This window comes from Homo sapiens, chromosome 1 (assembly GCF_000001405.40).
Source record: "Homo sapiens chromosome 1, GRCh38.p14 Primary Assembly".
Lineage (NCBI taxonomy): Eukaryota > Metazoa > Chordata > Mammalia > Primates > Hominidae > Homo > Homo sapiens.
In genome coordinates this window covers 886,829-904,759 of record NC_000001.11, presented here as the reverse complement: position 1 = coordinate 904,759, position 17,931 = coordinate 886,829, and the positions used below count along the sequence as shown (strand labels likewise).

General features: G+C 47.3%; 1 annotated feature.

Moving 5' to 3' along the window:
* Nucleotides 6,632–6,792: a silencer, noted in NCBI's record as "fragment chr1:833348-833508 (GRCh37/hg19 assembly coordinates)". NCBI's record gives its function as "represses an EF-1alpha promoter that drives an FKBP-Casp9 reporter gene in an ReSE screen in HepG2 liver carcinoma cells {active_cell/tissue: HepG2}" and the evidence as "EXISTENCE:reporter gene assay evidence [ECO:0000049][PMID:32094911]".

Below are 17,931 nucleotides of genomic sequence, written 5' to 3'. Positions count from 1 at the left end.
CTGCGCCGGGCGCTGCGGAAGCGGCCACGTTCGGAGGAGGCGGCGGCCACGTTCGGAGGCGGCCACGTTCGGAGGAGGAGGCGGCCGCGTTCGGAGGAGGAGGAGGCCGCGTTCGGAGGAGGCGGCGGCCGCGTTCGGAGGAGGCCACGTTCGGAGGAGGAGGCGGCCACGTTCGGAGGAGGCCACGTTCGGAGGAGGAGGCGGCCGCGTTCGGAGGAGGAGGCGGCCGCGTTCGGAGGAGGCCACGTTCGGAGGAGGAGGCGGCCGCGTTCGGAGGAGGCGGCGGCCACCCGGGCCTGGCGGTGGAGGGGGAGGAGGAGCAGAGGGCGGGGCCGGGGCCGGCGGCCTCTTTGGACCCCGCGGCTTTGAGGGGGCCCCGGCACTCACGCCCTGACCCTGGCGTCCTGAGCCTGCGTCCAAGGGGTTGCCACCTGCCCCGATGCCGCCCCCCACCCCCCCACCCTCTGCTGCGTCCTGGGCTCTACACCCACTGGGGTGGAGGGCTCGCTTCTAATAAAAACGGCAGGACCAGGAAGACCAGGACCCCGGGCCCCTGGGAGTCGCGCTGTCCTCTGCACTGGCCCCTTGTGCATCCTTGTCCCCCTCAGCCATTCCAAAGCCCCGGCCCTCCGCCCCAGGCCTCCCATCCTCCACTCTGAGTGCAGCAGGAACCTCGTGAGATGAGCATGTGGAGGGAGCTCCCCGGGATGCTGGGCTGGGCACAGGGTCTGCAGGGGCCGACGGCCCCTAGGCTGACCTTCCAGAGCTCCCTCTCCAGCCACCCGGGCTCGGCCTGCTGGGAACAGAGCTGCCCCAACCTTGTGCCCGCTGGGCCTCTGTGCAGGGTTCCCAGGACTGCCTTCTGGACACCTTCCCTGCTGGGGTTCTGACAGCGGGGTGGACAGCCTTGCCCAGCCTCAGGGCCGTGCAGCGCCAGGGGTAAATGTGGCTCTCCTTGCACCGCTGCGCCTAGGGCTGCCCTAAGGAAACACAGTCGGTCTCCAAGGCTGGGGCTGCCTCCATGGATGCAGACGGCTCACTGGGGGACTTGAACATCTGTGGATTTTGGTATCTGTGGGGATCCTGGAATCAGTGCCCCACAGATACTGAGAGATGACTGTACCACAGACTGGGTAGGTTAAACAGAAATTAATTTTCTCACAGTTCTAGGGGCTGGAAGTCCAGGGTCAAGGTGTGAGCTGGGCCTTTCCTGGCGAGGGCTCTTACCTGGCTTGCAGATGGCCGCCTGTTCTGTCCCCACACGTCGGAGACAGGGAGTGGGTGCTCTGGTGCCTCTTTTATAAGGACACGAATTCTATCAGATCAGGGCCCCACCCTTAGGGCCTCATTTGACGTTAATTACTTTCTTAGAGGGCCCGTTGAACACTTGTTCAATGAACCAGTTGACGAAAAAGATCACAGTCACACAAGCTAAACCGCAGCACACACCACGCAGTGGTGGGGAGGTGGTGCGAAGTCAGAGTGTGTGTCCCCCCGCCCCAAATTCCTGTGCTGAGGCCCTAACCCCCAGGACCTCAGAATATGGTTGTTTGGAGATGGGGTCTTTAACGAGGCGATTAAGGTGAAATGGGGTCATGGGGCGGGCCCTGATACAATGTATAAGAAGAGGAGATGAGGATTTAGGGAGAAGACGGTGTCCACAAGCCAAGGAGAGGCCTCTGGAGAAGTCAGTCTGTGGACACCGTGACCGCGGACCTCCAGCCCCCAGAATTAGCAAATAAACGCTTGCTGAAGACGCCGCGCAGCCGGCGGGGCTCGGTTATGGCGGCGGCACTGACTAGCACAGGGGCAACTCTTCAGCCCCTCACACGGACCCGCATCCCGGGCCCCCTCGTCCCCTCACGCATGGGCACCCTCTGTATCCAAATCCAGTCTACCTTTCAAAGGAGGAATCTTGAACCTGGATTGACCTCCCAGAACTCAGGTGAGGGGGGATTATTATTATGACGATTTTTTTTTTTTTTTGAGACAGAGTTTCACTCTGGTTGCCCAGGCTGGGTGCAATGGCGCGATCTCGGCTCACTGCAAGCTCCGCCTCCCGGGTTCATGTGATTCTGTCTCAGCCTCCCGAGTAGCTGGGACTACAGGCACCACCACGCCCAGCTAGTTTTTTTGCATTTTTAGACGGGGTTTCACCATGTTGGCCAGGCTGGTCTTGAACTCCTGAGCTAAGGTGATCCACCCACCTCGGCCTCCCAAAGTGCTGGGATTACAGGCATGAGCCACCGCTCCCGGCCTATTATTACTATTAATTAGCCCCACAAACGCACCCCTCTCTCCTGTCTGGGAGCCCAGCCTAGGTTCTCCTTCTAGGCAGTGCAGGGCAGTGTGGGCTGGAGCATTGGTCAGTGTTGGCCAGAATGGCCGTCCTTCCTCTGAGACGAGGGCCCAGGAGATGAGCGGGGGGTGCTCTGTCCACTTCCAGGTTTTGGGCTCTGTTGGGAGACACCCAGGAGTTGCCCCTCCTGTAGGTGACCCCGAGTGCTCCTGAGCTGTACAGTCGCATGGCACCTCCGGAGGGGAAGTCACCCTCCTGGGGCCGCTAAGTCACCTGGTGTCACACACCCACCTCCAGCCGCCTCGCTCTCTCCACCCAGGGTCTAGCATGAAGACTGGCCTCAAGATGAGGTGCTCATGGGCACCTCCCAGACCCACACCGCACCCTGATGTTTCTTGGTAAACAGGGTTGCCTACATTTCATGCCTAATTTGTGTTAACCGAAGAAATTCATATTTTAAACATTTTGCATAACTGGAAATGTATTCCAAAATGTTTCACTTTTGACATAGTTTTGTGAAAAGGTGAAAACAGGACACGCTTGTGTACACACATGCCTACATGGAGGTAGGGAAGCATGTAGTCAGCACTCCTAAAAGCAGCCCTCGAGTGTCTGCTCCGTGTGGGCATTAGGAAAGGGAGGAGCAGGTGGGGTGGCTGTTGCCACCCTGAGTGTCAGGGAGTTTATGCACCATCTTTACCGCTAGACTGTGAGCTCCTTGGGGGCACACCGAGTCTCTGTCACGATGGATTTGCCTAGCAGGTGCTCTGTAAACACTTGTTCAATGAACCAGCTGACGAAAAAGATAAAACGCTCCATTTACAGGCCCAGCAATAGTAAAACGAACACTGCTGTGGCTCCCACTTTGAGAACGCATGTTGCAAATGCGTCATATGTCCTGTGAGTGACACACACTCTCTCCACAAACTCCAGCCTGGCTTCTCAAGGCCTCCTCTGGGCAAAGCCCCGTCTTTGGTCTGTGAAGACTTGGATAAAACAGCAACATAGTTTCTCACAGCCCAAGGGTCTGCCATCGCCACATGCCCACCTGAGCAAACTGAAGGCTGTGGAAGAAACTCCTGTTCCGACACCTGAGGAGACACCTGGGCAGCTGCCAACCAGGTGGGCTGAATGCACATGGACCAGCCCCTGCCCACCTCCACTGAGCCCCTGGTTTCCCTCTTTTCTTGTACTCTCTCTGTTTTCACTTTACATACACTCTTTTTTTATTTTTTGGACACAGCGTTTCACTCTGGTTGCCCGGGCTGGAGTGCAGTGGTGCAATCTTGGCTCACTACCACCTCGACCTCCGAGGCTCCAGCGATCCTCCCACCTCAACCTCCCAAGTGGCTGCGACTACAGGTGTGCGCCACCACACCTGGCTAATTTTTGTATTTTTAGTAGAGATGGGGTTTTGCCATGTTACCTAGGCATGTCTCCAACTCCTGAGCTCAAGTGATCCACCAGTCTTGGCCTTCCCAAGTGCTGGGATTGCAGGTGTGAGCCACCATGCCCAGCCTACTAAATAAACTCTTTTTAAAGAACGGTTTTAGATTCACAAAACAATTGAGAAGACGGAACAGAGTTTACAAACGCCTGGCACCCAGTTACGCTGGTACTAACGTGTTACATTAGCGTGGCACTTGTTACAACTACTTGTTACAACGAATGCACCAATATTGATGGATTCTTATTAACTAAAGGCCACATTTTATTCAGGTTTTCTTAGTTTTTACATAATGTCCTTTTCTTTTCCAGGATCCCAGGATATATTCCATTTAGTAATCAAGTCTCTTTAGGTTCCTAAACTGTGAGTTTTTCAGACTTTCCTTTTTCCATGACCTTGGCAGTTTTGAGGAGGGCCAGTCAGGTATTTTGGAGAATGTCCCTCAATTAGGATTTGTCTATTTTCCTCACGATTATACTGAGGTTCTGGTTTTTTTTGGGGAGAAAGACCCAGAGTCAAGTGTGCAGAGGTCAAGTGATCACTGCCGATGTTAACCCTGGTCCGTCTTCACTCCACCACTGACCTCCACTCTGCACTCCTGAGAAGGAGGTCACTGCGATGAGCCACGTTGGAAGAAGGAGGTCGCTGCGATGAGCCGCGTTGGAGAGGTGGGGAGTTAGGCTGGATCTCCTCAAGAGTGGAGCCTCCACTTAGGTTATTTAGAACTATTCTGCACTGGAGATTTGTCTGTTCTCCCCCATGATAGATATTTAACCTCACGTTTACATATCAGGATGGACTCAAGTTCCCTTTAAAATGTGGGGTGACTGTGGGGGCAGGGAGGTCTGTGAAGGGGCAGGGTCACCTGTTGCCATGAGGAGGGTGCTGTTTGTGTATGTGACGCTGTGTGTGGGAGGCCTTGGGCCTGGGATGGTGTGGAAGGGCCAGCGCAGGAGTCTGAGTGGGCTGGCATCTCTGGCCTCAGCCAGCAGGACCACCCCCTGCTTACTTGCCCAGATTTTATCTCCAGCATCTCCTTTATCCTCATTCCTCACACTGGTTTGGTCTCCCATCCCACCCCATCCCTGCATCCCATCCTGTTTCAGCCAGTGTCCCACTTCCTGGGCTGGTACCCATCTCCCTGCAGCCGGGGTGCACGTGCTGAGCCATCAGTGGACCTGTCTGGCCACAGTGTGGGCCTCTGTGAGCCATGGGATGAGCCAGGCTCCCTGGGGGACAGTGGGGCAGGAGTACAGCTGACGATGCCACGCTGTTGTGCTAAACATCTTCTGATTTTTTTCAGAAGAAGCCAGAAATCCAGATTTTTAAAACATGGAATCTCCTTAATCGCCCTTTCAGAATCAGCATCCTGGTGTGCCAGGCTCGTCCTGGGTCTCCAAGCGATTTCCCCCTTCGTTCCCCACTCTCTCTCATGTCCCTGAAACCCCTCGGACACCTGAGCTGATGTATTGGCCGCTCGTCCCCATATCTGCCACGGGGCTCCATGCCACGTGCTTTCTGCTCAGGCCCGTGTTATTGGACTGCAGACCTGGGGTGAGTGCCCGTCATCCAGCACTGATTTGGATCCATCTGTGGACGCCGTGTCTGAGCACTTAGGAGTATTCCGTGCAGGCACCCCCCATTCTGGTTTGCTTATTCCCTCACTGTGGGCCAGAAGGTGCCCCCAGCCGGGCGCGGTGGCTCATGCCTGTAATCCCAGCACTTTATGGGAGGCCGAGATGGGCGGATCACGAGGTCAGGAGATCGAGACCATCCTGGCTAACATGGTGAAACCCCGTCTGTACTAAAAATACAAAAAATTAGCCAGGCACGGTGGCGGGCGCCTGTAGTCCCAGCTACTCGGGAGGCTGAGGCAGGAGAATGGCGTGAACCCGGGAGGCGGAGCTTGCAGTGAGCCGAGATCGCGCCACTGCACTCCAGCCTGGGTGACAGAGCAAGACTCCGTCTAAAAAAAAAAAAAAAAAAAAAGAAGGTGCCCCCAACTCCCAGGATCTGAAGCAAAGCTGAAATGAGCGCGCCCACAGCTGTTCCCTCGCAGTTCCGGAAGTGGCCTGGAGCAGAGGCTGCATCACAGGACGTGAACACTTCACGTTGCCGAGTGCCTGCAGAGTGCGTTCTGGAAGACGCCCATCCGCTCACAAGCTCCCAGTGGTGCCTCAGGACCTCCACCTGTCACATGTTTGCCGACCGCTGTGTACATATAAGGGGTACAGTGGTGTGTGACTTTTGTTTTTTAATGCATTCAGTTGGAAGAGTTTAAATGTTGAAATGAGAATGACTTAATATTGGTTACTGTTGGGAACAGGCCCCCCAAAATCTGGCCATAAACTGGCCACAAAACTGGCCATAAACAAAATCTCTGCAGCACTGTGACATGTTCATAATGGCCCTAACGCCCACGCTGGAAGGTTGTGGGTTTACCGGAATGAGGGCAAGGAACACCTGACCCGCCCAGGGTGGAAAACCGCTGAAAGACGTTCTCAAACCACAAACATAGCATGAGCGATCTGTGCCATCAGGGCATGCTCCTGCTGCAGATAACTAGCCAAACCCACCCCTTTATTCCGGCCCATCCCTTCATTTCCCGTAAGGGATACTTTTAGTTAATAGAAACAATGCTAATGACTGGTTTGCTGTTACTAAATATGTGGGTAAATCTCTGTTCGGGGCTGTCAGCTCTGAAGGCTGTGAGACCCCTGATTTCCCACTTCACACCTCTGTATTTCTGTGTATGTGTCTTTAATTCCTCTAGTGCCGCTGGGTTAGGGTCTTCCTGACCGAGCTGGTCTCTGCAAGTGGCGTCCATCGTGGGGGCTCGAATCCAGGTCGAAGGGTCGCCAGAGCGACGGTTGGAGAACGTGGAACTAGCTGGAGGACACCTGAGTACTCTTAAAGCCATCCCCGTGGTGAGTAAGAAGGGGAGCTCGGAAGCATCAGGGTAACAATGGGACAGGCGTGGGGTCTGGTTCGTTTCACCTTGGAACCTTTTCACACTGATGAGGAGGAGGAAGGAGAGTATAGCGACGTAACAGAAGAGGTTACAGACCAGGTTTGTTTGCCAGCTAAAGCTGAAGCGGCAAAGGAGGGAGAGGTTCATCCCTACCCTTCTGCACCCCCTCATTATTATTTTGAAGAAAATGACCCTCCAGGTATTTCTTTTCCAGAGGACTGTGGGCGAAAAGTAGTTGCCCCAGTGACTGAGCAGCGCCTGGAGCGACTGCTCTTAGTTCTATTCAGGCAGGAATTCAGCAAGCTAGAAGAGAGGGTGATTTAGAGGCTTGGCAGTTCCCTGTTAGAATACACCCCCCAGATCAACAGGGAGATATTATAGCTACATTTGAACCTTTTCCTTTTAAATTACTCAAAGAATTTAAAGAAGCTATTCATACTAAAAAAGAATGTAGAAAAAAAATCAGTGAGTCGGCTGTCAGATAGGGGAAAAAAGAGAACTGCTAAGCTGAAATATGTCCAAAATGTAAAAAAGGAAATCATTGGGCTAACCAATGTCACTCTAAGTTTGATGAAGAACGGAACCCGATTTCGGGAAACACCATGAGGGGCCCATCCTAGGCCCGTTCTAAACCGGGGCATTTCCAACTCAGGCCATTCCCTCCCCACCGTACAATGTCTGTCCCCTGCCACAGCTGGTAGTGTTGCAGTAGATTTATGCTGCACAAAAGCTGTGAGCCCTCTGCCTGGGGAACCCCTGCAAAAGGTCCCAACAGGAGTCTGTGGACCCTTGCCAGCAGGGACGATAGGATTACTTTTAGAAAGGTCTAGTTTAAGTTTAAAAGGGGTACAAATACATACAGGAGTCACTGATTCAGATCACAATGGGGAAATTCAAATTGTTATATCTACTTCTGTTCCCTGGAAAGCAGAGCCAGGAGATCGGCTCCTGATTGTGCCATATGTGGGAATGGGGAAAAGTGAAATTAAATGAACAGGAGGATTTGGAAGCACAAATAAACAAGACAAAGTGGCTTATTGGGTAAATCAAATTACTGATAAACGTCCTACCTGTGAAATAACTATTCAGGGAAAGAACTTTAAAGGTTTGGTAGATACAGGAGCAGACATTTCAATTATTTCTCTACAGCAGTGGCCGTCCGCGTGGCCAATTCAACCCACTCAATTTAACATAGTTGGAGTTGGTAAAGCCCCTGAAGTATATCAAAGTAGTTATATTTTGCATTGTGAAGGGCCCAATGGACAACCTGGGACTATTCAACCAATTATAACTTCTGTACCTATAAATTTATGGGGGAGAGATTTATTACAACAATGGGGAGCACAAGTTCTAATTCCAGAACAATTATATAGCCCTCAAAGTCGACATATAATTCATGAAATGGGGCATGTTCCTGGTATGGGACTAGGAAAATATTTGCAAGGTTTGAAAGAACTGCTTCAAGTGGAAAGACAAAGTTCCTGCCAAAGATTAGGATATCATTTTTGACGGCGGCCGTTGTTAAGCTTCCAGAACCTATACCTTTACAAATGGTTAACAGATAAGCCAATATGGATAGAATAATGGCTGCTAAGCAAAGAGAAACTGGACGCTTTAGAGAAATTAGTTACTGAACAATTAGAAAATGGGCACATAGCTCCAACATTTTCCCCTTGGAATTCTCCAGTTTTCATAATTAAGAAAAAATCAGGTAAATGGAGAATGTTAACTGACTTAAGAGCCATCAATTCAGTTATACAACCTATGGAAATATAACAGCCAGGATTGCCTTCTCCTACTATAATTCCAAAAAATTGGCCTTTAATAGTCACAGATTTAAAAGACTGTTTCTTTACTACCCTTTTAGCTGAGCAAGACTGTGAACGATTTGCATTTACAATTCCTGCAGTAAACAACCTGCAGCCTGCTAAGCGTTTTCATTGTTTCACAGATGGGTCCAGTAATGGTAAAGCTTCTTATTCTGGATCAAAAGGTAAAGTTTTCCAGACGCCCTATATTTCAGCTCAAAAAGTGGAGCTTGTAGCTGTAATTGAGGTATTGACTGCTTTTGATATGCCTATTAATGTGATTTCTGATTCTTCATACATGGTTCATTCCACACAGTTAATTGAAAATGCTCAGTTACGATTTCATACAGATGAACAACTGATAATAAAAACAAAAAAGGGGGGAAACAGGGATTACGGGACAGCCCAGACACAATTGAATCTTGCATTATTAACTTTCCATTTTTCGAGCCTTCCCAAAGGCCAGATGTTACCAGCAGCTGAACAGCATCTACAGAAACCAGCTGCAAAGACACAAGCAGAACAACTGGTTTGGTGGACAGATCCAATAACAAAAAGTTGGGAAATAGGTAAAATAATAACTTGGCGTAGAGGTTATGCTTGTGTTTCTCCAGGACCGAATCAACAACTGATTTAGATACCATCAAGACACCTGAAACTTTATCATGAGCCAGATGCCGAGAAAGAGATTAAAAGCACAATCATCATTGAAATTACAGAGCTTCTGGCTGGGCGCGTGGCTCACGCCTGTAATCCCAGCACTCTGGGAGGCCGAGGTGGGCGGATCACAAGGTCAGGAGATCGAGACCATCCTGGCTAACACGGTGAAACACCGTGTCTACTAAAAATACAAAAAATTAGCTGGGTGAGGTGGCGGGCGCCTATAGTCCCAGCTACTCGGGAGGCTGAGGCAGGAGAATGGCGTGAACCCGGGAGGCAAAACTTCAGGTTTTGCCAAGAATGACACTGTAAATGTAACAAAGCTTCCGTGCTTGTTAGTGAACACCAACTCAGCTACTCTCCTGTATTCGGACATCAGGATGAAATGAAAAGAACAAGCGGGCCGGGCGTGGTGGCTCACGCCTGTAAACCCAACACTTTGGGAGGCTTAGGCAGGCGGATCACCTGAGGTTGGGAGTTCGAGACCAGCTTGACCAACATGGAGAAACCCTGTCTCTACTAAAAATACAAAATTAAATGGGCGTGGTGGCACATGCCTGTAATCCCAGCTACTTGGGAGGCTGAGGCAGGATGAGTGCTTAAACCCGAGAGGCGGAGGTTGCAGTGAGGCGATATTGCACCATTGCACTCCAGCCTGGGCAACAAGAGTGAAACTCCGTCTCAAAAAAAATGAAAAAATAAAAATAAAAAAAGACCCCCAACCTTGTCTAGACTGTGGGTTTCAGTTTCACCCCAGGGGGATCCTGGTTGGGTTAGAACCCTGAATCTGGTTTGAGTTCAAATCCTAAAGAATAAAGGGAATAAAGGCTGCAGCCACTGAGATACTCAATCTGGTCTGGTTCTGGCTTTTGTGTGTCTATCTGTATTTTTGGTCTAAAATATTTGGCCCAACAGAGGTTAAAGGCTTTGATGGTCTCAGCAAAAGCCTTGTGAGATCTCTAGTTTATCTGTGTGCTCAACTTGAACAAAGAGACTCCATAAACTAGAAAAACCTAAAGAAAATGGCACACGTGAAAAACTGAGAGCCAACTCCTGTTTGTTGTTCTGTCCACCTCCCTCCCTCACTCCTCCTCCTGCCTTTGCTGTGGTCCCATGGTGTTTCTGTCTTTCTGGGGACCTGAGATTCAGTGTAGGAGTGAAGTCCACGATTTTAAAAATTCTTCCTGTCTCTGCTTTTTAACTCTGCCTGCTTTGCTGAGCCCTTATAATGAGAAATAAACCATTCAGAACAGAAACAACAGGGCATCAGAAAACCAACTTTAGGCAGCGCTCCGGCAAGTACTTCCCTAGAGGGGAGGGGCCTACTAAAGGAGATTTAATCTTGAAAAGGCCAAAATGAGAAGCTCTAACCTTAAGCTTGCTAGGTTTTCTGGGACTCGAGCTGGCTATATATTATAGACCATTCTAGTCACACACACACACATTTTTTTGAGACAGAGTCTTGCTCTGTTGCCCAGGCTGGAGTGCAGTGGTGTGATCTTGGCTGACTGCAACCTCCACTTCCCAGGTTCTAGTGATTCTCCTGTCTCAGCCTCCTGAGTAGCTGCGATTACAGGTGTGTGCCACCATGCCCGGCTAATTTTTGTGGTTTTAGTAGAGACGAGGTTTCACCATGTTGGCCAGGCTGGTCTCGAACTCCTGATCTCAAGTGATCCACCCGCCTCGGCCTCCCAAACTGCTGGGATTACAGGCATGAGCCACTGCGCACAGGCCTATATATATATATATATATATATATATATATATATATATTTTTTTTTTTTTTTTTTTTCTTTTTGACACAGAGTCTTGCTCTGTTTCCCAGGCTGGAGTACAGTGGTACAATCTTGGCTCACTGCAACCTCCACCTCCCAGGTTTGAGCAATTCTCCTGCCTCAGCCTCCCGAGTAGCTGGGACTACAGGTGCACACCACCACACCCAGTTAATTTTTGTATTTTCAGTAGAGACGGGTTTTTGTCATGTTGGCCAGGCTGGTCTCGAACTCCTGGCCTCAAGTGATCCACCTGCCTCAGCCTCCCAAAGTGTTGGGATTACAGGCAGGAGCCACCACGCCTGGCTTCTAGTGCACACTTTAAACCTGATGGCCGAATAACATGAAAGAAAATTCAGAACTCAAATAGTTTATATTTTTAAAAACCCTAAAATGAAAAAATCTCAGTTCTTTTGCCTGTCTATTTTTTTTTCCCTGCCTATTTTGAATCTGCTGACTTGTCTACTGGTGTTGAGATGAAACTTACTGTCTGTGGTATTACCAATTCAAGGTTACTTGGCTGAAGAAAAACAAAAGAATGAAATAATTCTTTATTTTTTTCTCTTTTTGAGACAAGGTCTCTCTCTAAGGTCTCACTCTGTTCCCCAGGCTGGAGTGCAGTAGTGGGACCAGAGCTCACTGTTACCTCAACCTCCCAGGCTCAGGTGATCCTCCTGCCTCATCCTCTCCAGTAGCTGGGACAATAGGCATGCACCACCATGCCTGGCAATTTTTTATCTTATTCTTAGTAGAGATTCGGTCTCGCTATGTTGCCCAGGCTGGTCTCAAACTCCTGAGCTCAAGTGATCCTCTTGCCTCAGCCTCTCAAAGTGCTGGGATATAGGCATGAACCACTGTGCCCAGACAAAAGAGTTCTTTTATAAATACAAATAATTTAAAAAGTATGGATAAAAGGAAAATAGAAATGTCTTCAGAATTGTCAGCATACATTTTTGACTGTGTTTTATATTTACATTTGCTAGATATTTTAAGGTGCTAGGGTTTGGCATGAAGGTTATAAAGCTATAAACACAGGAAAAAAAGGAATATTTGTTTTTGTGATTTTTTTTAATACATAAGACCAATTTAATACGGTTTGTTGAACAAAAGTAATGGAATTTTCTGAGTTATTGGTAAAATACCCATGTATTTAACTTTGAAGTCCTCACTTACGTGAACACCTGATATTCACAGGCTATAACATGGTTAACAAGAAAATAACCTAGAAATGATGACTAGCTTTGTCTAATACCTCAGTTCTCACAAATACTCTAGATAAACTGTTAAAAATAAGTAAATGTAAATGGATACATGTCTATCCAAGACATCTTAATGTATTTTTGAAATTTTTTTGAGATAGTGTCTCTGTCTGTCACCCAGGCTGAAGTACAGTGGTATGATCACAGCTCACTGCAACCTTGACCTCCTGCCCTCAAGGGATCCTCCCACCTCAGCCTCCCAAGTAGCTGTAATTACAGGCATGCACCACCATGCTCAGCTAATTTTTATTTTTTTTGTAGAGTTAGCATCTCACTATTTTGCTCAGGCTGGTCTCATGATACTCCTGCCTTGGCCTCCTAAAGTGTTGGGATTACAGGTGTGAGCCACCATGCCCAGCCTATTTTTGAAATTTTAGTTATGTTAAATTAAATAATAGATACTCATTAACTATCTGGGTTATTTCCAATTTAAAAACTTATGTTTTAGCCCAGGCGTGGTGCCTCATGCCTGTAATCCCAGCACTTTGGGAGGCTGAGGCAGGTGGATCACCCAAGGTCAGGAGCTCAAGACCAGCCTGACCAACATGGAGAAACCCCATCTCTACTAAAAAATACAAAAAATTAGCCAGGTATGGTGGCGGGTGCCTGTAATCCCAGCTGCTCGGGAGGCTGAGGCAGGAGAATTACTTGAACCCGGGGGGCGGAAGTTGCAGTGAGCCGAGATTGTTCCATTGCACTCCAGCCTGGGCAACAAGAGCGAAACTCCATCTTAAAAAAAAATGTTTTAGGAACACATATTTCTAAATTATGAAATTATTCTCATCTGTAAGATACTGCTATATGACAATTCAAGATTTCTTGCTTCCTAGGTTTTTTATTAAAATAAAGGTTACTAAGTATTAATATTGTGGTAGATATATGTGATTAAGACTACTAGGTACAAGAGAAACAATTCTGTATGCAAAATGTATACCGGTTTTTGTTTCAGAGAAAGTAAATTCGCTTAGAGATTTTTAAGGATTATTTTAAATTGAAGGAATAAAAAAGATAGATAAAATGTGTATAAAAAGTTGGAAAAGATGGAAAAAATTATACAAGGTTATTAAAAGTTTACGTAAATCTTACCTCGAGGTCAAAACTGATTGAGATCAGATAGATTGTTTATAAAGTTTATTTAAATTAGGTATAATATTAAAAACATAGTGATACAAAACTAAAAATTTTGGTTAAAACAACAAGGTTTTCTTAAAGTATTTATTTGCTCTTAATGAAGTAATAAATATTGACTTTTAATCCTGAAATCTGTTACTATAAAAACTTTTCAGATTTGTGTATCAGAAATTCAACTTTTCCTGTACTTTCATGTTACACATGACTCACAGATCACATCATTGTCTTCTGTTCCTTCTTGAGAAGGGAGAGAAGGCTTGGCTTTTCTGCATGGCTGGGATGATAACTCCTGCTTTTTCATCAGGTCTAATTTTGTACTCTTGGCTTTTAAATACGTCTTAATTACTTCATGTAACCAGGAAACTTCCATGCTATCACTGTGAGCTATGGATCCCCACTGCTCTATGCTATGGTTTTCCTGTTTACATTCCTCTGTAATATCATGCTCACTCATGACCCTGGACACACTCTTTGTATGTGGGTACAAGAGGAGGTCTGGGCAACTTTTCAGGAACCTTCAGATCACATGGGCTCTGCTGCGTTTTGGTTTCCGTGTCGAGATGTTGCTAGCCAAGGCTGCAAGGTGGCTGAGGGACCATGCCTAGGTCTCTGTGGTTGGGGCTTGAACAAGGCCCAGCCAGAGAGCTCCTGCCCCCTGCAGTCTCTCCATCCTCTATCTAGATGCCTGCAGAATGTTCACTTCCAGAAGGTATATTGAAAAGTGCTTCCCAGTTTATCACAGTGCACATATTGAAAGGTGCACTAGAAGCTGGGAGACAATAGACTGAAAACTGACACAGGAGACGCTGGGTCATAGCAACGAAGAGAAGCTGAAAAGGAGTGGGAAGGAACTAACTGTAATTTTACATCAATGATCTGCATCTTTGTTTCGATGGTTTGTGGCAACCAAAATGACTATTCTTTCTACCCTCCTAGTTCAGACATAGCCTGAGACTTTTTTTTTTTGAGATGAAGTCTCACTCTGTCACTCAGGCTGGAGTGCAGTGGCATGGTCTCGGCTCATTGACTACGACCACCAGAACCCCCTTGTTGACCCGTGATGGATGTGAAATCAATTGAGAAGTCAAGGCCGGGTGCAGTGGCTCACGCCTGTAATCCCAACACTTTGGGAGGCTGAGGCAGGCAGATCATGAGGTCAGGAGATCGAGACCATCCTGACTAACATGGTGAAACCCCATCTCTACTAAAAATACAAAAAATTAGCTGGGCCTGGTGGCTGACATCTGTAGCCCCAGCTACTCAGGAGGCTGAGGCAGGAGAATCACTTGAACCCAGGAGGTGGAGGTTGCAGTGAGCTGAGATTGCACCACTGCACTCCAGCCCGGGTGACAGAGTGAGACTCCATCCACCTCCCCACCCCCCCAACAAAAGAAAAAATAGAAAAAAGAAAAGAAGTCAACTTTGCTGTTGACGCCACTGAGGTTTAGGGGCTTGTTACACAGCATCACCTGTCCTGACCAATGCGTGACTCATTTCATCCTTGGCACAGCCCCTGAGAGAAGGGGCTTTATCCTCATTTCATAAATGAAGAGTCAAGTCTCAGAGAGGTTAGCAGCATGAGCAAACTCACACAGCGAGGGGTGGAGCTTGGATTTGAATCCAGGTCTGTCTAACCTCAAAGACTGAAGTGGGGATGAAAATAAGTTGTCATTGTTGTTTGCCTGTCACCCAGGTGATGTAACTCTTGTCTAGGCTCTGCCTACAGGGGCTTTGTGACATATCTCTGCACTGATCGCCCAGGTGATGGGACTCTTGTCTAGGCTCTTCTATCCTTGGATTGTAACCTTGCAGGATCTTGAACCCATATCCTTTCAGGGATCATAGAAGTGAGCACATCAAACCTGCCATGATAAAGTTGTGGAAAAGTCGGCAATATTGCCAAATGCAAAATATCTGGGCTATATTTTGGTCTGAAATCACCATTTGCGATTCCGGGAAGATAGGGAATATGGAGGTCAACTCCCATAGGGATGTTGTATAAGACTCCAAGCCCTAAGTCAATGATCTGAACCCTGTGGATCAGCACTCTCCATGTAATGGGGCATCTTAACCCATTTTGTGCTGCTATAACAGAATACCACAGACTAGGGAATCTATAAAGAAAAGAAATTTATTTCTTAGAGTTCTGGAGGCTAGGAAATCCAAGGATGAGGGGTCTGCATCTCGTGAGGGCCTTCTGGCTGTGTCATCTCATGGCTGAAGGCAGAAGAGCAAGAGTTTGGGAAAGAAAGAGAGCAAAAGGGGCTGAACATGCTTTTAATACAAGCCCACTCCCAAGATAACTAACCCACTCCTGAGATAATGACATTAATCCATACATGGGGGCAGAATCTTATAACCTAATCACTCTTATTAGGCCCCGCCTCTCAACACTGTCATATAGAGGATTAAGTTTTCAACACGTGAGCTCTGGGGGACACATGCAGACCATAGCATGGGGGATTGATGAGTATATGGGAGGGAACAGTCATGAATATTTTGGCTGAGGGTTGTGTTTGAGAGCTGAAGCCATGGTCCATCATGGCAGGGCACACATAGACCTTTGAATGCTCTGAGAAATGAATATTGAACAGTGTAACTCATGGCAGAAGGTGGAATATTTAAAAGGCAGAACTGCTTGGGTCAAGTAGAAGAGTGAACAAACAGCCTGTAGCCTTTGGCTGGCTCCTCTTCCCTTCCCGTCCCCACCTTTCACCTTTCTCTCTTTCTTTTCCTCCCTCCCTCCCTCTCTCCCTCCCTGTCTCCTTTCCCTCCCTCCCTCCTTCCTCTCCCTTCCTCTTTCTCTCCCTCCCTGCTTCCTTGTTTCTTTCCTTCCTTCTTTCCCTTTCCCTCTTTCTCTCCCTCCTTCCTTCCTCTCCCTTCCTCTTTCTCTCCCTCCCTGCTTCCTTGTTTCTTTCCTTCTTTCCCTTTCTCTCCCTCCTTCCTTCCTTCTCTCCTTCTCTCTCTCTCATTTCCTTCTTTCTCTCTTTCCATCTTTCTCTCCCTCCATCCTTCCTTCTCTCTCTTTCCTTGTCTCCTTCCTTCTTCCTTCCTTCCTTCCTTTCACCCTGCCTTCCTGCCTTCCTTTCTTCTCTCTTTCTTTGACTGATGTGTTCTGAGCCCAAGCACCCTGTGGGGTACAAAGTGGTACCAAAATTGACTCAAGAATCAAGAAGAAATAGAAAACCTAAGAAGTACTATAATGTGAAGAAAATAAAATCTCTAGTAAAATAAAATCTTTCACAAAGGAAGGACTAGGCCCAGATGGTTGTATGAGCAAATTTTACAAACTTTCAAAGAATGGATCATTCTAATTATGTCCCAAACAACTGTAGCTAGGAATATTAATGCTTGATTTTTCAAGAGCCTCATTTCCTAAAATCTATAGGTTCAAAGGTAGATTGGCATGTGTTGGGAATCCTCAAATGTTGTGCAGTTCCTTGGAGTGTTAGCATTAAAAAAGAAAGGTCTTGCCTGCATTAACTTTGAATTTTGTAACAGTTACCAGTTAATAGAGATATTCTATGCATTTCTACACACTCTGATTTTATAGGAATGGAGGCATATCAGACACATGGCTCTGCACCCAGGGTTGTTTTTACTTTGTAACATATATTGGACATCATTTTTGAGCATCCTTTTAAAATTTATTTTTTTAAATAGCTGCATAGTATGCTATCGTATGAATAACCATAATTTCAATACACAGTAAGGTGATAACCATTAATGTGACTGATAAACATTAAGGTGATTTCCAGACTTTTGTTAATGAAAAAGGTGGTATAATACTTTCTCCCATTCATACATAATTCCAGGCATCATGAGTATGTCTGTAGGGTAAATTTCTGGAAATGAAATTGCTGAATCAGAGAGTATTTCCACTGATAATTTTGGTATATATTGTTTAATCACATTAGATAAAGTTTGTACGAATTTATAATCCCAGTAACAAGATGTGAGTACCACTTCAAACTCCACAACTTCACTGGTAGTGCTTGAATTCATGATGCATATTGCCGGCCTCCCTTCAGGAAAAGTTCTATTAACTCTACAGAAATTTTATAAATGGCAGATGTTACATTTCCAGATAGCTTTGTGGTAACCAAAAATAATTGATTTGTTAGCAATTTTTATATGAAATTGAGATAAAATATTATTTGTGATAAATATCATTATTGTCATGTACTTAAAACATCTCATGTATTAAGAAATCATACTTTAGATGGGGCCAAGCTGGCCGATTAGAAGCAGCTGTGGCCCATGGCTCTCATGGAGAGCAATGAAAACTACAAGTGACTTCTGCACCTTGAGTTGAGGTATCCAGGTTCTTGCATTGGGACTGACTAGGCCCACTAGGCCCACAGGGAGTGAGGAAAAGCAAGTGGGGTGATGGCCCATCCAGGTGTGGCACGGAGCTAGGGAGCCCCCACTCGCAGCCAAGGGAGGCGGTGAGTGATTGCGTGACTGCCTGGGAAACCATGCTTTCCCCACGGATCTTTGCAACCTGCAGATTGGGAGGTCCCCCGGTGAGCTCAGCCACCATGGCCTTGGGTCTGAAGCACAGAGCTGTGTGGAGTCTCGGCG